This window comes from Homo sapiens, chromosome 1, assembly GCF_000001405.40.
Source record: "Homo sapiens chromosome 1, GRCh38.p14 Primary Assembly".
Classification (NCBI taxonomy): Eukaryota; Metazoa; Chordata; class Mammalia; order Primates; family Hominidae; genus Homo; species Homo sapiens.
The window spans coordinates 208,650,246-208,672,920 of NC_000001.11; the positions used below are offsets into that span (position 1 = coordinate 208,650,246).

The 22,675-nt window shown below is 41.6% G+C and overlaps 1 long non-coding RNA gene across 1 annotated transcript in view, besides 1 other annotated feature; it reads right to left on the minus strand.

Annotated features, from left to right (window-relative positions):
* Positions 2,114-2,300: a silencer, noted in NCBI's record as "fragment chr1:208825704-208825890 (GRCh37/hg19 assembly coordinates)". NCBI's record gives its function as "represses an EF-1alpha promoter that drives an FKBP-Casp9 reporter gene in an ReSE screen in K562 erythroleukemia cells {active_cell/tissue: K562}" and the evidence as "EXISTENCE:reporter gene assay evidence [ECO:0000049][PMID:32094911]".
* The window catches only part of LOC105372892 (uncharacterized), a 57,069-nt gene continuing 55,495 nt past the window's right edge, over positions 21,102-22,675 (minus strand). The window contains exon 5 of the long non-coding RNA XR_007066854.1: positions 21,102-21,305. This is a non-coding gene — a long non-coding RNA (uncharacterized LOC105372892). The remainder of the gene's footprint in view (positions 21,306-22,675) is intronic.

A 22,675-nucleotide genomic window follows, 5' to 3' on the forward strand; every position in this document is an offset into this window, starting at 1 on the left:
CCTACCAACATCACTGTCTGTGAACCAGCTCTGAACACCTCTTGCCTACGTGCAATAGAGAGACCTGGCAGACGAGGGGACTCTGTAATTACTCTAGGGTACTTAAGACTAATGAACAGGTAAGGCCAGCACAAATAAAGGTGTTAAGATATATGTTGGCCTTCCATTAACCCATTCGATCTCTCACATCAGTCAGTCTAATTAGACAGTGGAGACTTGTGCCAGTGGAGACTTATACTTCCTGAATTCTAAGAAGAAAAGGAAGTAACTGGGAATTGAGGAGTGCAGGGAATTGATTGAAATTCCCCTATGAAAAAGGCACCAGGCATCCTACGTGAACCTTTGCACATAGGCTCTGGGTTAGGGTTGGGCATCATAGTGGTTGTCTGCCTGCCCCATGGTGTTATAAGCAGGCTGGGGCATAGGAAAATGAGGTTGAGAATATACTGCATGTTGTAGTTGGTGTACCTCATAACCTCAATACTGACAGAAACTACCATACAGTCTAGTTCTGTCTCTTGGATTTCTTTTTTCTTGTTAGGGAATGATAAGAGAAAATACCTTGTGGAGGTTACATCTGGCTTGATTTCCTCCTAAGGACTCATCTGGCACAACTAGCAGCCTCTTGCTGAAAGGAGAAATATCCCTTCCTAACTTTCATGTGGAGGACCTCAGCACATCCACAGTAGAGAGCTCAGGAAAGATGCTGTGTTGGTCCTGAGAGGTTTGCACCCCCATCTGGCTTGAATCTCTGAAAACTTCCTGTCCAGCCCTATCCCTTAGGAAAATAGAGAGGGCTTTCTCTTATAAATATATTTTTTAAACAAGTAACATCCAGAAAAAGCAAACCCATCCTTCGCTTGCTATGTCAGCCCACAAGTCAAGACCTCCATCAACAATGCCTTCTTTCTAAAACAACCAAACCACAGAAGATTGCTTCTCTTTCAGAGGATGTCCTGTGATTGTGTAAGCGGCTAAAGGCTGCTGTACTTGAACGTCCAAGTACCAAGAGATGTAGCAGGGAGGGATGACAGGCAGCTTGGGCTAGGGTAGGAGTAGGTGAGGCAATACCTGAGAAATTCTGTGAGAAATTGGAGCCTCTGTAGAGAGGGTGTGGCTGAGGGAGTGGATGGGGTAGAACGCGTTTTTACTTTTCAAACACTTTTTAAAAAATTCTACTGTCAGATGACCCTATTCATTAATTCATTTTCTCCCTGAAGACTATTGAATATTTAAGCCAGGAACCTGAGATGTACCCAGCGATTTCATATCAGGTTATATCCGGCTTAATTTCCTCTTACAAGGACTCTTCTGACACAACCAGCAGCCTCTTCCGTATTCCTGGATGGCCCCATCGTTCACTGCCACAGGGACCCAGCAACCCCCTCCTCTCTGCAGCCAGTCCATATCAAGCCGACTTCTTTTCTTCCCACCGAGAAGATTTGTTATTCTCATGTACGGAGAGGGAATTTAGAGATGAATTTGCAGGTGGAAGAAACTCTCTCCTGACTCAAAAATACTTATGTAAAATTGGCTCCAAACACTAAGCCAATTTTTGTGCAAGGGCTGGGGTTTGAGCCTGGTGAAAAACCAGTCTCTTTTTTCTTTTTTTTCTTTTTTTTTTTGAGATGGAGTCTCTTTCTGTCGCCCAGACTGGAGTGCAGTGGCGCCATCTCGGCTCACTGCAAGCTCCGCCTCCCGGGTCCACGCCATTCTCCCGCCTCAGCCTCCCGAGTAGCTGGAACTACAGGCGCCCGCCACCACGCCCGGCTATTTTTTTATTATTATTTTTTTAGTAGAGACGGGGTTTCACTCAACACTTCCATGTCTTTTCCTAGAGTCAGTAAACAGTTGATCGCAAGTGGGAAGGTAAGGGCTGAGGGCCTGACTCCTAGCTCCTACTTCATGGCTCACTAGCTGAGTGATTTTGCTCAAGAAGCCTAAATTATGACTGATCATCTCGTCTTTAAAAAAGAGATAATGATGTTACAAAATTCACAGGGCCGATGTGAGAATTAAACGTGATAATATTTGTAAAAGTGTTTTATACAACACCATAAGCATAAGACATATTATTCGTGCTGGCTGGAGGCAGATGTCTTGACAGAAAATCTCTGGAGGTTGCTCCCAATATAAACATTCTATGATTCTTCCGGCCATTTAGTCAGAGTGGAGACAAATGGCTGCAGCTGCTACCCTTAGCAACCGGCCTTCTTCGCTGTAGGCTGCTGTTTGTCACAGTGACCACTAGGTGTCACCTCCTTTTAAAATCTCTCCCCCTTTCCCAAGCGAATCTAGATCCTTTCAGAAGCAAAAGGCATTGAAGACGGGGTTTAGTCAAGACTGGGGGAACTTGGAGTACTGTCTCCTCCACAGTGACAGAGGTCTTTTGCAAGGATCAAAAGGACTCTTGAATTTAAGAAACATGGATGCATTCAACACACCACCCTTTCTTGCTTGTTCTCAGCTCTCTCTCAGTACTAGTGAGATTAGACTGTTAATTCAAGTCTGTCCAGAAAAAAACTGTGGAACCATTTTGAGGGGTCTGGGAGAAGAAAACTCGCAGCTTTATCTGAACTCCTTGAGAAGAGAACAGTATGAGGAAAAGCACCTGCAAAGCCCCCTTTCTTTTTCCATAACTAGAAATGTGTCTAATCTCACTGCCAGGACCTGTTTATCAACAAGCTCCTACTCAGATTCCCTCACAACATGCCACTAGCCTGAGCTCAGAGCAAGCAATTTGGTTAAAAAGGCCATTGAGCTCTAAGGGTTTTCACTCCAAGTCAGACAGAAGGAGGCTTCAAGAGGTTCTAAAAAGAACTCTGGACTAAGAATGGGGATACTGAGGCTTTAGGCTTCAAGAGGTTCTAGAAAAAACACTGTGCTGGCGATGGGGATACTGAGGCATTGGTCCAGGCAGTCCACATGCTAGCCGCACCACCTCGGGTGAAATCACTCTTCCCCTCTGCATGTATTTCCTTCTCTGTAAAGGTAAAGATTTGAGTAAGAGGATAATTAAAATCTCCTTCAGAGGCTAAAATTCTATAAAATCACAGAGTTACGTGTGTGGGTAATGTGTCAGATACATAACATTGACATTCATCTGCTTGTTGCCTTGTCAGGACACTTGATGAGGATTCTTGCCAGTTTAAGAAACATGCATCCATTTACTTACTAAACCCCATTCTTTCCCAAGGAGTTCAGATAAAGCCATTAGTTTTCTCTTCCTGAAGCCTTCAGAATGGTTCAGTGGTTTTTCTGGAAAGATTACAACAGACAGTGATGAAAATCCACTCGTGTTCTTATTACTCAGAGGACAAGCCAAAAAGAGCGGTATGTTTAATTTATGCATGTTTCTTAAATTCAAAAGTCCTTTCATCCTTGCTAGTCTTTGCGTGTGCACTATAAACTCCTGAAGGCAGAGGCCACGTCTTCAGTCTATCCTCCTTCCTCTTCCCCCTCCATATAGACTCAATCCAGGGCTCTGTACTCTGCAGTTGTGCAGTAAATACAAATGACTCACTGACATCAATTACAGGGGAAGAAAAGACTTAGTCTAGATGAAAAGTTCTAGAGTATTCAGGTTTAGTATAATATATCAATAATAATGGCTAATCTTTATTTAACACTAATTGATAAGCAAAATAAGGACAGAGATTTGTCATCTGCATTGTTAATTGCTGTATCCAAGAGGCTATAACAGAATAATGCTTGGGACATCTAAGGCATTTGCTAAATATTTGTTAAATAAATAAATGAATGAATATTTACCATGGGTATGTTTTACACATTGCCTTGAGAGGCATTACTATTATTTTCATCCATATTAGGGGGGAAAGAACTGAAACTAAGAATATAAAAGTAACCTGCCAATTCTCATACCTACCGTGGGCAGCAGTGGGATTCATACCAGCTTGTCTGGTCCCCAAATCTACCTTATATATAAAGCTCAACACTATGAAAACAACTTATCATTTCCTTTGATAACATATCTGAGGTGAGAATATATACTTTTCTTTTGTGATGCATTAATAATTGTTTTCCCTCAAAAGAAGAGGATAGGAAAAGATGTTTTCCCAGGTCCCTAACTCCACAGAGTGAAGAGGGGAAACCTTCCATTTCTCTGGAAAGGAAGGTTCAGGAGGAGTCAATTTACAAATCTGGCACTAGGTGGCGAAAAGCAGATTAGCGTATGTGTCACTAAGGACCTGTACTAGGATTAAGCACGGATTAAGTGCTTTGTGTGTGTTGGTGAAAGGATGAATAGGGAAACCCTGGAGGCATTCATAAGAAAAAGAACTTTGGCTTATAAGAAGAGGATTGGAAATTGCCATGATGGAAGAACCCAGGCATGATTCATTTTCTTTCTATAATTCATGTGCTTGTTCTGTAGATATCTGTTGAACACCTATTTATGTCATTATTTTTCTCAGTGCTGGGGATACAGGAGTGAACAAGACAAACATCCCTGCCCATATTATGGAGCTTATGCACTCCTGGCACACCATGGATCCTAAGCAAACTCATATTTCTCCCTTAGTCCTGCTAACCAGGGTTCAGAGAACCTACTGAAGGCTTTGCAGAGATCTTCCCAAACCTGAAAATGAAAATCATAAGAGTTGAGTTATTTTTTCTTAATTATTTCCGATATATTAAACTTCCATAAACACATACACCCTTATTTCATCGCACCTCTTTCCCCATAACTCCCAAAAGTTATGTACATCCTGATTTTATTCTACATCTTTTTTCTAGTCTTCCCAAGGCTGGGGGAAATGGACCCTGTGAAGCACAAGAATGCATAAACTAAATCAGATATTGTAAGATTATTTTATCAATGTTAACTGGCATGAGGAGAGTAATCCTGTACTCGCTGCCAATACTCTTCAAGAAACTGTAAACCTGGTACTGAAAGAGACCTTAGAGATGGTGGATTTTAACTCTTCTATTTTACAAACGGGTCTACTGAAGCCTGGAGAGGGAACATGACTACCTTATGAAGGTCACAGAGACAGTTTGAGTAATAGGCCTGTATCTCAGGTCTCATGTTACCTAATCCAGAATGACACAATTGCAAGGCTCCCAGTGGAGACACAAAGACAGGAAGAAACTTCAGGGGGAGAAAGCAATGTGGAAGTCCTCAAGCATGCTGGATATTAACTGTATGATTTGCCACAGCTTAAATTGATTCTTCCATTAAAATAGGCATTGAGTATGCCCATGACATCTGTTCCCAGGGCTCTCCACTTTTACCCAGCAGGACAATAAGACTTCAAATATGTCAGTAGGTATCCACTGTCCTCATCATCACATGCCTAGGCCGTTAGCACCACCTCCGGGAGTGTCTCAAAGCTTCCCACCTCTCTCTCCGTACTTGGACGAAGTTAATTTTCCAAGCCCACCAGTTAGCCATTCTCCTTCTTCACACCCATGAAGATACTATGTTGTCTCTCAAATCAAATACAGCCTTCAGAGTCTGACATCAAAGGGCTGGCTCAGAGTAAGCATCCATGGTCAAATACCTTCCTGTCAGGTACCAGACACAGGCTTCATGTCAGCAAGTTGCCTTTAATTTGCCCCCAAGCCCTATGAGTTCAGTGTGAGCTGTGAGTGCTCTTTGCCAAGTATATCCAGCTCTTCTCCTTCTGAACGAATACAAGATTGTACTTCCCTGAATCCCTTGAAGTAAAGCACGAATGATTAGAGAAGACCAAGCGCGTGGTTCACAAAGCATCCTACCCCTTTGACAAGGATAGGCTTGAAACAGGAGAGGAAAAGTAACCTTTTAGAAGCCACAGAGATGTAGGGGATTGTTCCTGCAGTATATTCTATTCCAGCCTATCCTGACTAATTCAGCTGTTCTTATTAACCCCATTTTACAAAGCAGGACACTGAGGCTCACAAAGGTCTTATAAGTTGCTCCATTTATGCATCTGGCAATTAACAGAATGAAGTTTTAACTTTGAGCCCTGGCATGCCTGATTTCACAGCTTGTGATCTATGGACCACAAAGAGGTGTCTACCCATCTAGGCTGGGGCTCACAATTGGTCCCTCTGCCTTTAATCTCTTATGCTTCCAATATTGTATATTCAAATATTTATTGTTGTCTTTTCTAAGTACCACTTTGATCATGTTTTTCACAGAGAAACTTCCAAGGCTTTCTTTTGCCTATATAATTAAAGGAAGAAAGTAATAGGAAGCCTGATACAAGATCCTTCCTTTCAAAAACATCTGCTTGCTGCTCCCCTGACTGCCTGGACTCTGACATCACCTGTGAGGTTGTACCAATCAGGATGAGCTGAAAGAAGGGACGGGACAGTGCTGTAGATTTCCTTGCCTCTGGCTCCAGGGATCCTGTGGATGAAACAGATCTTTGGGAGTTATTTTATTTTCTATGCCGATACTCACTCTTCAGAATATATCAAGAGAAGCCATCTCCACCTCATTGTAGGGTAGATCAACTCTGGAATTTTCTCAGACTCCTTCATTGCCCTAAGAATTGTTCTCTTTTCTATTTCTCATGAGACTAGAGATGACCCAGCTCTCACATGCAAAGAAGTGCCAAAAAGACAGATCAAATATACTTGGAAAGATTCCACCATGCAACCATATGCCCTAGGTTAGGTTCTGATTTCCCAAGGCACCTGCCTGCTCCCTCGAACTATTTCTCGGCATTGATATTTACAGAAAAATAATAAACATAATCCACATTGGCGCACATATTGATCCCCAGATTTCACTGACATTTACGGATAAATGATGGATTGCCTTTTTTGTGAGGCTAGCTGAGCTGGCCTACGTGGCCTGTACATAATTTACTTTTGATTAAAGGAGTGCTTCAACATCGAGATTCTGTTTGGGAGCATGAGGCAGGATCGATGCATTTATGACACAAACTTTCAAACAATGTACTCTGAGCGAGAAGTCTCTGCACTCAATTCATCTCAGATTTAGTTGGTGGGAGGGAAGGGAGAAGAAAGAGGAAAGGCCTGGCATTTCTAAGAGTTTGTCATGGGGTAACGTTCAAGAGTCTGAAAATAAAGTGGCTTTGTTTTCTGTGGCTTTGGGTCTATGCCATCATCAGGGAAGAGTGATAGAAGGGATTTCAAGGGTCCAGGATCACTCCCAAAGACCCCTAGAGAAATAGGAAGAAACAGTGACACCAGTTATTAGGAAGGACAGGCCTTCCAAGAAAACTGGGAATTTTCTTATCCAGTGTTTTGCCTGTTTTTGCCCATCCTGCAAAGGCAAAATTTCACTTGCAGACTATATCGGTTGATCTCAAATGCTGGAAGCTGAATGCTTTTAGATAGATGGGGTGTGCATGCTCTGTTTTGCCACATTCCACACTATCCCTTGTTACATCACAACTGGCCTGTTTTAGTAACCTTTGCTTCTGCCTTATCCCCAAGGTAATTCATGTTGCCACTCCTGCTCAAGTTACTCTGGTTTGGTGTTCTTTTTACTTTTCTCTTAAAGACAAGGCCTCCCTATGTTGCTCAGGGTGCTCTCGAATTCCTGGGCTCAAGTGATCCTCCTCCTCAGCCCCCAGGATAGCTGGGACTGCAGGCATATGCTACTACGCTTGGCTTGGTGATTTTTTTTTTTTTTCTGAATGTGCTAGTCCAGAATGATGTCTCCATTTTCTTCATGATTACATTTGGTTGGTTATAGAATGACAATTATTATAGCAAAATGTATGAAACCTATACCTGTGTCTCATTTAAGGCTCACAACAGGCCTCTGAGGAAGGTAATGTCATTACCCTCATTTTCAGGATAAGAAAATGGAGGCTTTGAAAGGTAAAATGACTTATTCAAGGTAGCATAGCTGGCAAGCATGCTACCTTGTTCAAACCAGGTATGTCTCACTTCTAGGCCTTTAAATCAAATATCTGACTGATTAAACCACCTGAAGAAGCTACTGTCTCTTCCTTTGTTGGAGAATAATTTCCATGAAGATGGGAGACCCATTTTACATACCACTATAGCCCCAGGGCCCATACATTATAAACACACTCTTCATAATGTGTGCAGCTGTGGCTGAAGTTCAAGGGAGCCCTGGCCCAGCAGCTATACTTGTACAGGTTATGCCTTGCACCTGACTGAGGACCAACAGGAGGAAGGGGTTGGGGGAAGCTGAAATCCAGCCCCCACTCCGTGGACCAGACCGAGCCTCTTAGTTTGTGGCTACATCCACCTGGAAAAAATGGGCACCTTTTCCTAATTTGTACAGAGGTGCTATTTGGGCAAATAGTGGCCTAGATAGAGCTTCAGGAGACCTCAGGGTAAACCCATTGCCAGTGACTGGAGGACACAAGGTCTCAACTTGGCATTTCAGGATGGGTGATGGAGGGAGAAACAGAAGGATGCAGCAATAGGGAATAGTCAAAAAGGATGCTACTTAGGGCCCACAGTCAAAGGAGATAGTCTGTCCCGTTTGTATTCTTGGTTCCCCATATTTCCCAATTCTTTCCTTTTTGTTCCCCATGGTAGAAGCCTTACTCAAATCTCTTATTTCCTATTTAGCCCTCCCTTTCTACCTTCAACAAATATTTATCACACTTCTGCTATGCACAGGGCACTGTAGTAATATAGATCTGGTCCCTGACTTTGTGAAATTTGCAATCTTGTGGGTGGGGGGGTGTATGACCATTGATTAGTTTTTGTTTTTTTTGTTTTTGTTTTTGTTTTTTTAATTTATTTTTTTATTGATAATTCTTGGGTGTTTCTCACAGAGGGGGATTTGGCAGGGTCATGGGACAATAGTGGAGGGAAGGTCAGCAGATAAACAAGTGAACAAAGGTCTCTGGTTTTCCTAGGCAGAGGACCCTGCGGCCTTCCGCAGTGTTTGTGTCCCTGATTACTTGAGATTAGGGAGTGGTGATGACTCTTAACGAGCATGCTGCCTTCAAGCATCTGTTTAACAAAGCACATCTTGCACCGCCCTTAATCCATTTAACCCTGAGTGGACACAGCACATGTTTCAGAGAGCACAGGGTTGGGGGTAAGGTCACAGATCAACAAGATCCCAAGGCAGAAGAATTTTTCTTAGTGCAGAACAAAATGAAAAGTCTCCCATGTCTACTTCTTTCTACACAGACACGGCAACCATCCGATTTCTCAATCTTTTCCCCACCTTTCCCACCTTTCTATTCCACAAAGCCGCCATTGTCATCCTGGCCCGTTCTCAATGAGCTGTTGGGCACACCTCCCAGACGGGGTGGTGGCTGGGCAGAGGGGCTCCTCACTTCCCAGTAGGGGCGGCCGGGCAGAGGCGCCCCTCACCTCCCGGACGGGGCGGCTGGCCGGGCAGGGGGCTGACCCCCCCACCTCCCTCCCGGACGGGGCGGCTGGCCGGGCAGAGGGTCTCTTCACTTCCCAGTAGGGGCAGCCGGGCAGAGGCGCCCCTCATAGTTTTTGTTTTTTGAAACAGAGTCTCGCTCTGTCACCAGGCTGGAGTGCAGTGGCACAATCTCAGCTCACTGCAACCTCCACCTCCCAGGTTCAAGAGATTTTCCTGCCTCAGCCTCCCGAGTAGCTGGGACTACAGGCACGTGCCACCACGCCCAGCTATTTTTTTGTGTGTATTTTTAGTAGAGGCAAGAGTTTCACCATATTGGCCAGGATGGTCTCGATCTCTTGACCTCGTGATCTGCCCACCTAGACCTCCCAAAATGCTGGGATTACAGGCATGAGCCACTGCGCCTGGCTGACCATTGATTAGTTATAATAGAAATGCTTTTCAGGATGATAGTAACCAATAATTACATTTATTGAGAGGCTACTATGCATCAGGAATTTTGGTGAGCACCGTTAATGCATTATCTTATTAACCTTTACAATATGCTATGAATTAGATATAATCTTCTTTCTTTAAAGTCTTTACTCCAGAAATTCTATCCTAAATGAGAAGATGAGAAGTAGTTAAAACTTTTCCTCTCAGTCAGATGCTGCACTCACAATCACTTGGATTTTTATGTGTTCTTTGTATGTGGTTGAATTTTAATGCTAACATATCTACCTTAGTCTCTTCCATCTCCAAAGCTAAGGTTGAGAAACCTCAGCCTCCAGACCACCCACAGCTCTTTATGTCATGGCTCTGCACAGCTTTCCCAGGCTACCTTTGGTGTTACGGCCATTGAATACCCTTCTCAATGCTGAACCCCAGCTCACAAGTCCTCAATGTGTAGAGCTCATCTAGGATTTATTCAATAGTAAACAAGCTCCAATCCCCGCTCTCTAAAACAGAGCCACCCTTCCTTGCCATTCTGTACTTAATGTTGCAGATATAGCAGTCATTAAAGCAGAATTTAGACTTCTATTAGCATAGTTTATGGCTTTCTTTTTTGCACCTTCCATATGGAAGTATCATTTCTTTGGGCTGAGCAAGAAAACGGTGACTGGCAGATGCTATATTCAAATAGAACATGTCAACATTACATGTAAACCATTGTTTTTTCCATGTAATGATCTCTTGGTCACTAGACTGCTCCATTGACCATCTTAATGGAAGAACTTGTGCAGGATCACGTTCCTATATGAGAATGTAGAAGACTCTAACTTGAATCAGGTCCAGCAGTAGGCGGGGAATGAGAGAACTTTTACTGATGTATCAGATCCTGTGCTAAGGACTTTATATTTGCTATCTTCTTTATTCCTTACAAAACACTTGAGAGAGATTATTGTTGCTATTTTTTTTTTAATTTGAAAACTGAGTCCCAGTGAGGCAAGCAGTTTGTCCAAGATCACTGGGTTATTCCCTAAAAACCTATTGGAATAATAATAATGATAACAAGATCACTAGGTCAAATAGAAAATAAGCCAGATGTTAGAATCAGGCCTAAAAAGCTCTGAACTTCCCCCACTGGTGCACCCTTCATTCACCCACACACACCAGAAGAGGGTGGGGCTGGTGTCATAGGCCCAAGTGGCCACATTTGTAGTTCTCAAAATGTGGGGAAACAGCCCATCAGCATCACCTGGGAACTTGCTAGAAATGCAAATTCTTGAGTCCCTGCTCAGAACACCTGAAGCAGAAACTCCAGCAGGTGGGGATCAGAGATCCAGATTTATTAAGTCCTCTAGGCAGGCTTATGTTTGAAAACCATTGGCTTATTTCACTCTTTGAAGCTCAGTGAATCATCATTCTTTGCACAAAAAGAGAGAAGCAGAAAACTTCCTCTCTGAAAATTGGAACTAGGCGGGCAGACTCTAGCTTGTTTAGAGATTTGAACTGGAGTTCCTGAGATTTGTCCTGGCAGAGGAAGAATGTTGAAGTTGACCATGGTGTGAAGAATGGTGGCTCCCACCATCATGAGCAGAAAACTCAGAGAGGAGGAACTAGGGAAGATTAGATTCAATCATCAAGAGTTTTAGTGATTTTCTTAGCAAAAGAGGCATTGGACAGAGGAAAGCTGGTCAGAATCCTATGGGATTCTCAGAATCAGAAAAGCGGTTTTGCTTCCCTCCTGTCACCCAATTCTTTTCTTCCTTAATGTAAAATAAAGTTACCTTACAAATGCCAGCTTCATCTTCCCAGTAAAGGGAGTTAAGGGAAAAGGCTTTGCCTACCTTTGGACTGGGTGTTGGTGATAAATGCAAGATCCCTGAGTGCCTGGCATAAAGACAGTTGCCTGAGCCAGAATGAGGAACCCCTAGAATCCTGCCTCTTTTCACATGGAGCTTCTCGCCACTAGTTTTTCCTCTCTTCATATTGTATCCCTGTGATGAATGTGTGTGCGTGTGTGTGCACATGTATGTGCATTTTGCAGGGCGGTTGGGGAAATGCACAGGTTTGTGCTTTATTTTCATAATGGGCCCTGCTTCTTAGCAGCTAATCTGGGTCTGGAAAGTGAAAATCATTAATACAACAAGAATGAAAACCCAGACAATGCAACTTTAAGAAATTTGGGCGGTGGAGCTTAAACTCACCTTTGTGGGCAGTATCACCTCAGATATTAACAATTTAAATATCTGATTAAAATCATGTCAAATATAGCCATAAATTCAGAAGTGTGTGTACACCCCCCCCTCCCCCAACAAACACACATGCAATAAGTCTCCCTCTTCCTTGAAGCCTTGAAGAGGTAAAGACTTCACAGAGAGGCTGGCAGCTTTAGGGGCTATCTAATATCCTATGGGGGGTCAGGCAGCCTGTCCTAGGAGTGTGCCCTGAGAACTTTTTACTGAATAATTTTTTTTAAAGCAGGTTCTCCCTCTGTTGCCTAAGCTGGAGTGCAGTGGTGCAATCATAGCTCACTGCAGTCTCAAACTCCTGGGCTCAAGCGATCCTCCCACCTTGGTCTCTCAAAGTGCTGAATGAACTTTTAAAAGATCCAGGCAAGATCATATCCTTGCTTAGACGTTGTTAATGCTTCCACTATCTGCAGAGTAAAGTCCAAAATACTTTAACATGACATACACTGCACAGCCCTGCACAATCTGATTCTTCATTTTACCTCATGCAGCAACCACATAAGATCAATGTTCTCTCCATTCCCCAGAATTTTGTCTCTTTCATGCTTCCTGGGCTTTGTTCATGCTGTTCCCTAAGGCTGCATGTTCTGTCTGCCTGTCTTCTTCTGTCTACTGACATGCTGTTTGTTTATCAAGCCCATCTGAAATGCCACCTTTGTGGCATGGTTCCTTTCTTGATCTCTCTCAGGCAGAATGGATTGTCTTTACCATTCCATTCCCATTCGTGCTGTTTTATTTGACACCCAGCTTCACTTCTTACTAGCTTGTAGGTGGGCACATCATTAAACTTGTCTGATACTCAGGTTAGGTTCTTTGCACAATTCTTGTCTCATTCAAGTTATTATGCTGATGAAATGAGATAATATGTCCAACGCACCTAACAGTGCATTTATGCTCTCCATCCTCCCCCTTTTTTATTCCTCTATAGTATTTTTTTACTATACTCTGCACACTCATTTGCTTAACTCTTGGCCTGGCTATTATCCCTTCAAAATAGAGAGTTTCTGAATGGTAGAGGTCATCATATTTAGCATTATTTCCCCTAAATGCATTGTACAGTGCCTGGCATTTAGACTGGTATTTTAAAGATACTTGTAAATTTGTATTTATATGAACTCTAAATCCACCTTAGCACCACTGGTGATGATTTTCTCTGCTCACTTGCTGATTTACTGAATTCCCCCAACGCAGTTTCCCCAGTGATGATGGGTTGAAGCTATGGAATCACCCTGTGGTTGATTATATTGTTCATACTGTCAACTTCCCCCCTAAGTGCATAATATACATCTCCATCTCTGCAAAGCCTTCCTGTTTTATTTACAGGGTTTTCCTGTGACTTGCTTTGGCTAGTGGATCAGGGGAGAATATGAAATTTGCACTCTCAAACAGAAGTAGTAAATGCACTTGGGTGATTGGTCTCGAACCCTTTCATAGACGACAAGTATATCTCAGACTGTGGCCACTCCTCTAGCTTGGCTTCCGAATAAGAGCTCAGCCAGCTCATGTTACTCACAGTCTTCATAGAACATGAAAATGCAAGAAACACTGTTGGCATAAGCCCCTTCGAAATTGAGATTGTTACTGAAGTAAAAGTTCACTAGCCCACAACCTTGAATTCTCATCTGCAGGGTCTGCTCTTGTCCAAGGGGTTGAGACTTCCTAGGCCCTAGTTCCTGAATTCCCTTCTCTCTGAGATTTGCTTTTATAAAGCTCTGTACCTAAATGGCAGCATGTACTGTAACTAAATGTGACCATAAAGAGGGAAAAGTTATAATGTTGTTTCAGAAAATTGTTGTTCTCATTACCTACCTTATTGCCATATGTTCTAATCTAAAGCACTGCGATATGGGAAATTATGGTGACACAAAGATGAAGTGATGTTCTGGCTAACGATACCCCCCAAATATTTATTCTGGTTCCCTCCCCAGCCATGCCCACATGCACAATTGATGCCAGCTTCCTCAATTAGAAGTCCAGGGCATAAAGAAAATGAGGACGAGGCCGTTTGCATTTCTGAAGCTTGACAAGGGAAGATTAAAATCTTTTATGAGTTCTCCCCCATCATATGTGGAACGTGGCGCTCGCATATTTCATTTTCTCAGGAAAAAATAGTGTTTGCATTATTTGGAGAAAATCATTACGAATGCGACTAGTCAGCAGCCGTGGTGGGCCCTGTTACATTACCATTTCTGAGTTATGCTTTGTACTTGGCTTTCTCTACATACTCTTTCATTTTGTTAGAGTTTGTGCATCAGGAAAGGGATAAAACACGGCAGCTCAGGCACTGTGAGTGCACCGGACACACAACATGGAGAAGCACTTCTTGCAAACTGGAGAACACTGAGAAATGTGAACGGGGGTCTCCTGGAGTGGGAAACCCAGCCATCAAAACCTACATTAAATTGCAGCCAAGTCTCCTCACCTTCTTTCCCTACAGATGCCTCTCACCCCTAATCTGAGTGAACTCTCGGGAAAAGAAGGCAACCCAAGAGACTGGCTTTTCACATGGTTTGACCACATTATCTCAACTGCCTTTTGGTGACCTCTGTGTCATGTGTGCTGGGTAACAAAGAGGAGGGCCCATATTTAGAAGAGAAGGCATTGTGACATTTTTTGAAGAGCAAGTATGGGTGTTACAGTCACATAGAACTGGCTTCATATCCCAGTTCTTCCACTATGGCTGTGTAACCTGGAGAAAACTATATAATCTATCTGTACCTCAGTTACTGCATGCATAAAATGGGGCAATGATTTTTTAAAAACTTGTGAGGATTAGTGATATTGTATGTAACTTACTAGGCACAATAGGCATTCACAAAATGTTATTTGCTGAGTGGCTTTCTAACATTATAATAAAGGGATTCTTGGGGGTTTTCTGTTTGCTTGTTTTCATTTTTAGGTATTTTTTAAATTTTGAAAGAAAGAGACACCACTCTGTTAGGCCACAGCATCTTGTGCTAACTTCAAAATGAGCACTGATCACGTTGTAACATAAGCGTAAACCCACCTGCCTCTCCTGTTCAATGATAATCCCCAGAAGATAGAAACTCTGTTTTTATTTGCCACTGCCACTCCAGTGTCTGGTTAGCAGCATCTGGAGCACAGCAGCCACTCAGTAAATAATTGTGGAAAGAAAGAAAAAAAAGAGAGAGAGAGAATGGAAGAAAAAGAGGGAAAGAAAGAAAGAGAAAGGAAGGAAGAAAAGAAGAAAAGGAGTTAGCCAAATCACACTCCTTGGTAATGGAGAAGCTGAGATTTGAAACCATGTGGACTTAATAGCCAAATCCTTGCTGTTTCCATTACAGCTCCCTGTATCTATTCCTTACTGCCTGAAACTCTTGCTGGGGATGAAGAAAGGGACACTTAAGATCCCAAACAGGGCCAAGTACCATGTCCAAAAGGCATTTGGTTCATTTTCCGGCTTCAAGTGATTAACCGTGCTATTCTAAAAGATAACCATGAAATCAAGTGTCCAAAAAATGCATGACAGTTTTGAGCTGGTTGGCTCTTACTTCATCAGTTCTTGAGTACTCATGAGTTGATCCAATAGAAGTTATCTTCAGCTCCCTTCTTTTAAATCTATGTCCTCTGACTCCAAGTGGACTTCAGAGATGCTTTGATTTGATTTGCCCAAGTTTGCTTCAAATTTGCCATAAACTTTGTTTCAAATTTTAAGGCTATATCTCCAAATTATGTGCTCTTTCTGCATACTACATAGCATGGCATAAGTTGATGTTGTAAGGACCATTCTGTAGGGAGGCTATCGAGAAAAAATTTAGATCCAGAGACTATTACATTTGGAAGACAACTTAGAGTTCATCAGATCCAGCCCCCTCATTTTGCAGATTGGGAAACAGATGCCCAGAGAAGGGAAGAAAGTTGCCTAAGGTCACAGAGCTGTGACTTCCAGTATAGGATATTTTTCACTATATGAGCTCATTTCTTGTTCTGCAATCCTGGAGCTTCTTCTTTCTCACATTCAAGATGGCCTTATGACCTGTTTTTTATTGAAGCCAACAACCTCCAGCACTCTTTCGGAGAAGCCAGAAAGGCATCCCCTCTTTACCTACTGACAATCGTTAACATTTAGACAACAAACCGCAAAGTTTGTATACCAAGATTCATCAATATCAGTCTTACACTTAGGCACAGGCAAATGGTAAATATTTACTCCTTTCTCATCAGGTTTTGCAAATAGGAACAAGAGAAATTTGACACAATTTCTCCATGGTCTTTGAAGACAGACTGCCATACTCCTCAGATTCACTCTAGCTGTCTTCCTTGGCTGCCCACTCTCCCTTCTTGCTAGGAGATGAACCTCATAGCTGGGCTCAAGTTTCAGCTCCTTCACAATTGTTGTCCGTCACGAGCTCCCAGTCCATGTTGATGTCAATGAAGAGATAAATAGAGAATTACAAGTCACTGGGCTGCACCTGTATATCTTAGAAGCCCAGTATCAGGTCTTCTACTTGATGTCTTTAATGTCACCAAAGGCAATGAAGGCATTTATAGCCAGAGTTTGGCTGCTAATTTAGGTTTTAGTACGAGCCACTGAAGGACATCTGGGTCATCTCTTCTTGGACCAGCTTGGGGCCTGCTGGGCTGATGGAAGCAAACACAATTTATGCAGATAAGATCATCATCTGAAACTGCTGAAGGCAGAAGAAGCCCTGATGAGGTGGAGAAGTCATCCATTTGCAGGCCTATGATCAATGTTTTAAATATCCTAAGAAGGTCTGTTTTAATAGTTCTAACTCAGAGAAAGTATAACTCAGAGTTACTGCAGTATGTCTCAGCCAGACCCAAGTCACCGTGGGTATAATTTATACACACATACTGGGCTGCCTGTGCCAAGCATTGGCATGTCTCGTTTATATGCTCCCATCATGAGGACCTCAATACATTTTTAATTTAAAAACAATTGATAGGACTGAAACTGTAAATCCCCTTTTGCTAAAGAGAAAACTTTCTAAGAGTTTCAGTTTTGCAGAAGGGAGGTGGAAACCACTCTTAGCTGATTAACTATTATTATTATTCTTTTATTCTTCATCTCTGTGTAACTGATCCTAGATTTTCCAGCTGTTTTCTCTAAATGCAATGTTGATAACTTACTGCCTAGGCTAATCCTATGTGGCTCAGCACCAAAAAGTTTTAGCTGATTAGTTAGCTCCCTAGGTTAGAGGCCTGCTTAGAACATGGTGGAGGGGGAGAAAAAGCTTACCTGGAAATCTGAAGAATGAGATCTTATGGTACATTGAGTCACCACAGTTGCTTATGCCCTCCCTTCATTAGAATTATATATCTGTATCTTTGGCCCAAGTGACTTCGAAGTACTTCCACTAGAATGAATGAAATTTTGTTTTCCTGTCCCACTGCTTCTTTGATTTAGCTCATCTAACTTTATTTAGCCAATGGAATGTAGGTGGAAGTGAGAATGTTCCAGTTCTGAGCTGAGGTCTCAAGAGATATCTTATTTTTCTGCCTGTCCTCCTTCACACCTAAGCTCCACTATAGCACAAACATGCCCCTGGCAGTGGCTGACCCAAGAGGGTAAGAGACTCATGGAGCAGACCTAGACCCAAACAGAAGCCTGGAGCCAAGACGAGCAGAGCCCACAGCTGCCACAATTGACATGCAGTCCTGTGAGCAAAAAATAAATAATTGTTAGAAGCTACTGACTTTTGGGGTGGTTTGTTACACAGCAAAGACTAATATAAGCTTTATCTTAACCCTGTCAATAACTAGTTAACACTAATCAAGTCATTTCTGCCCAGGGCCTCAGTTTTCTCCTCTGTAAAAAGCAAGAGTTAAACCAGGTAATTTCTAAGTCCTCTTCAAAATCTCTTCAAATTCTAGAAATTAGTGTCTGCAATGTATGGCATGAATTTCTAGGAAAACCTCTTGTAAATGCATGCTGCTGGTTACTAAGGAGAACTGAACTGGACAGTGAATTTTTGCTGGTTATTATTGTTTTCTCTTTCTCATGGATAAGATTAAATTAAATGTGAGAATACAAATGTTATAATTTATAGTTGATAATTGGTGTGTATTTTGCTAATTCGAAGTATAAAACCAATGTATTTACCACGTTGGTTGTTAATTTCCTCCTCAGTGAATTGCTATACTTAATAGAAATATTGCTTTATGCAATAGGAAATTCATAAACAAAATATAAAATGATTGTGGTTAAAAGAACACATCAAATTCGGTTAAAATAAAAATTATTCTCACTTATGAGAACAATAGTAATTTCCACTTTGAGCTCCTATTAACAATTAATAAGTGTTCTAAACCATTACATATATTACCTCATTTAATTCCCAAAATAATTTTTTGAAGATTGTTTTAGTTTTCTAGATGAGTTACCTGAAGCCCTAAAAGTTTAAATGCCTTGTCTCAAATAACCACCTTGCAAAAACTAGAGGCAGAGATTTGAACCCAGGTCTATCTGACTCCAGACCTGAAGCTTGTGCTTCAGATAGGGTTGCTACTTGCCTCAGAGCTCTCAGCCCAAGTCAGGTACAAGGCATGCCCTGTGAGGTAACTGTACCTTTTATTGCTACACCATACAGTGGCCGACCACTGACTGTGTATTATCTGTGATGCTTCTGGACATCTTTCAAATAAGTGTGATGTGTAATAATTTCATATCACAAACTCAAGTGTGGAAAAAAATACCATTTCCACCTGATGACAAGAAATCTGCATATTTTCATATAGTCACAAAATTGAAATGAAACTTTTTTGGCATAAACTCAGTCATATTAAGAGTTCATTCCTTGTCTCCTTTCTGGCCAGGTGTCATCTAATGTTTGGAGGAGGGTCTTAAAAGCAACCAAAGGGTGATGAGGGAAAAATGGCGAGAGACATTGCATTTGCCACTCCCTGCCCTCACCCTTTGTTGGCCTAGGATGCTGTTTACTCTTTGGCCATTAGCTTTGATCCCTAGGGCATGTACTGCCCTTGTCCATGGTCCTGCAGTTACCTCTCAGTACCAGAACTCATGGCTATCTCTGTGTGCTAATGCTATCAGGCCCCTTTAAATCTACAAGGTATCCCTCAACCATTTCCACTTGTCTCCTGGAAGCTCAGAAAATTCTGTATGCTTCCCTTTGCTACTCCTAAAGAAACCTAGGAGGCTGTTTCAATTCAACTTTGCTAGACACATAATGCCACTTTACTATTTCAGTACTGCTGCTCCATGCTGGCATGCAGGAATTCTCTCCTGACTCTTCAGGTTTTACCAGCACAGTGAAGCCTATGTCTTCTCTGAGACCCCTTGTTCCTTCAGGACCTGCCCCACTGGGTAGCTGGCAGGACACTGGGCCCCTTGTCAGCTATCATCTGGTGTCTCCTCATGTCCCCTTTGATCCTTGCCTACATACTTCTCCTCTCCCTCCCCCTACCACCGGCTCCATTTTTGTCTTGCCTCCAGGGCTAAATAAAATGGCTCTTCCATTCTTTTTTAAGTCACTTGCTTATGTCATGCACTTTATGCCATGATTCCTTCAGGGCTTTACCTCTGATACTGAAAAGGGCCTGGCTGTTACAAATCAGAAGCAATAATTTTAAAAAATCTATTTAGAAACTCAAAAAGCCCAGAACTTACTGGGTTTTCTCTCCCTTTATATTACTGCTCTAATAATCTTAATCTCCCTTGGGGCAAAGGGTGCCTCTGATTTAATAGGAGAAGGATGGCAGGATAACTTGTGGAGGTGAGGAAGGCACAGGAGGTAGGGAGATTCTTGGGTAATATCTCAGAATAGTCATCAAGCAATAAAGGGATGCAGTTGATAGTGAAAGCCGTAAATGCTCAATTTCTGAGGCTTCTCATTCATTCATTCAATAAATATTTGTTAAACACTGACTACGTGCTATCTTAGGAGCTGCATAAACAGCAATAAACAAGGCAGACAAGGCTGCTGCTTTCATAAAGCTTTTATACTCTAGTTGGGGGAGACAAACAATGAACAAGAAAACAAATGTATAAGGTAATGAATTACATATAGTGCTAACTAAGAAAACACATTGATGATCTATAGAGCATAGGGAAGAGGTGGGGCAGCTACTTTAGACTGGTCGGGTAAGGAAGGTCTTTCTTAATGTCAATATCTGAAATGAAACTGAATAGTGAGAAGGAGCCAGAAATGGAAAGATCTGGGGGTCAGATGCTCCATGGAGAAGGCACAGCAAGCACAAAGGCCTGCATAAACAGCAGCTAAGGACAGGAGGAAAATCGGAAGGATGTCTGGAAGCATCATGAGTGAGAAGAGAGGGTGGCGCAGAGGTCTGAAAGAAGCAGGGGCCCGATAAAGGTCTTTCATGGTGGAGTTTGAATTTTATTCTAAGGGCAAGAGGAAATCATATAGGATTATAAGCAAAAGAAAGACACAGTCATTTACTTTTAAAAACATTCTATCTATCTGCTGGGTAGAGAATAGCGTACAAAGAGGCAGGAGCAGAACAGGCAATAGCCTTAAGGGTTCTGCATAGAAAAAGCCCTATGAGTAGCTCTCCCTGCTAGTAGTGTTCCAGATTTCAGCCAATATCAGGGAAGTCCAGAACTCCCCTTCAAATAACCTCCTGATGAATGGTCACTAGGATGTAGTTCACTGAACTTCAGCAGCTTTTCCTGCCCCTCCTCTCTGTCCAACTGGAGCCCTTTGGAGGGAACTCAGGGAATGTTGTGCTCTGTAGGCGCCGGCTAGAGACCACCATGAATCCAATTATTTTCTCTTATCTAAATTGAGGCTTCCAAGGTGGTGGTGGGGGTGCCTCTTTCTTTCTTTGCTTCATTGTTTCCCCTACAGCATTATCATAGTGCTAGGCACATACCAAGGAATCAAAGAACATTTGTTGATTCAGAGATTGATTGATTCTGAGGCACTTGAGTACATTTGTAAATATCCTTTGAGGATCTTGCATCCCATTGGAATAAAACACTTCATGTTTTATTCAGTTCTTTCCCCATATGCAAATGTGCAGGTGCCCCGATGGCATATAGATAACATCATTACACACACACACACACACACACACTCCTGCACACCAAAGAAATGACTGCTCACATAGATGACACGATTAGAGGAAGTATTGGGGTTTAATGCAAGAATGATTGGATATATTCCCCAGATGCTTACGTCCTGCATTTGCAGGGCATCCTTTCCTACAAGCTCCATGAAGCAAGAGTTAGTTAAGCTAGACAACCTGGGATAGAGCAATAAAAACTAGACAAGGAGCCAGGATGTTTTTAGTTCTAGGTCTACAATTCGTAGCTATGTGACCTTGAGCAAGTCACGTCAGCAAGCCAAACTTCAGTTTCTGATCTGTAAAAATGAAATAAAAATAGTTGCTTTGAATAACTTTTATATTGGAATGAAGCATCAAATAAAATCATGTAAATGAAAGTGATTTGTAAACTGTAAAGTGAAATGTGTGAGAGAGTTACAAACTAATTTTACCACAGCCCCTGTCAAATGCTAACGGCCCAACCCTGCAGAGCTGGAAAAAAAAAAAGAATATGTCAATGTTTTTAAAACGGTGGAATCAGATCACTGGGTCCATTTCAAATTGCTATAAAAAGCATATAATTAACTTTCAGGATTTTACATTCCTTGACTATTCAGCAACAGCTGTTTCCATAGTTCTTCCGAGGTATTTGAGTTTTCCTCATATTTTATGCTTTTTTTTTTACAATAATTGGATGTCCCCATCTTCATCACCAAGGAATATATTGATGCTTTTAAATACTATCTATGATATGAAGACGTGAGAAGTCACTTTCATTCCTTATTCAAATTTTTCTATTTCTAAAGTGTATTCTTTCTTTGATTATTTATTCCAATGCTTTAAAATATCAAGATCATGTGTGGATAGGTGTCCCAAACTCATAAATCAGGATGTAATATCTTTTTAATGGATTTTTTTTCCATTTTGAAAACTAAATACATTAAAAACAAAAAACAATATCTACTATGAACTATCACCATCATATTATAAAAGCAAGAACCTTTGAAATAAATGAAGATTAAATTCATGGAAAATTCCTTCTTTTGATTAATAACTTTGTTTTAATTGATATTTTGAATTGTATTTTTAATAAATGATATATTCGATGTGGTTCTACCACTTAAAAGGTACAAAAGAAGGTTCTATCCAAAGTTTTCCCATTTGGTCACTGATCTGCTCAGCTCCCTTTCTCAAAGTCAATTTTTTATCAGTTTTTTGTGTATACTTCTAGAGCTTTTATGCACACACAGATATTTACGTGTTTGTGTGTACTTGTGCGTGTGTGTCTTTACTATACAAATGATAGCATGCCATACAGATTTTTATTCACTTTACTTTCTTCACTTAATAAATTTTGAGATTTCTCCATATCAGCTTGTAGAGAGGATCCTGCCTGGTCTTATGCACGGCAGCATAGTATTCTATGGTATGGATACTCTGCTTACATACCTGCTGACAGACATTTATTTAGATAGATTCCTGCCAACAGACATTTAGGGTGTTACCACTCATTTGTTATTGCAAACAATCTTTGCTGAATGATCTTGTGTATTCACCATTTTATTCATGTGCAATATATCTTTAGAATACATTTCTAGCAGTGAACTTGATCAGTGTAAATGTATGTTAAATACTGACAAAATGCCCTCCTTTGATGTAGCTCCAATTTATATTCTCCCTAGGAAAG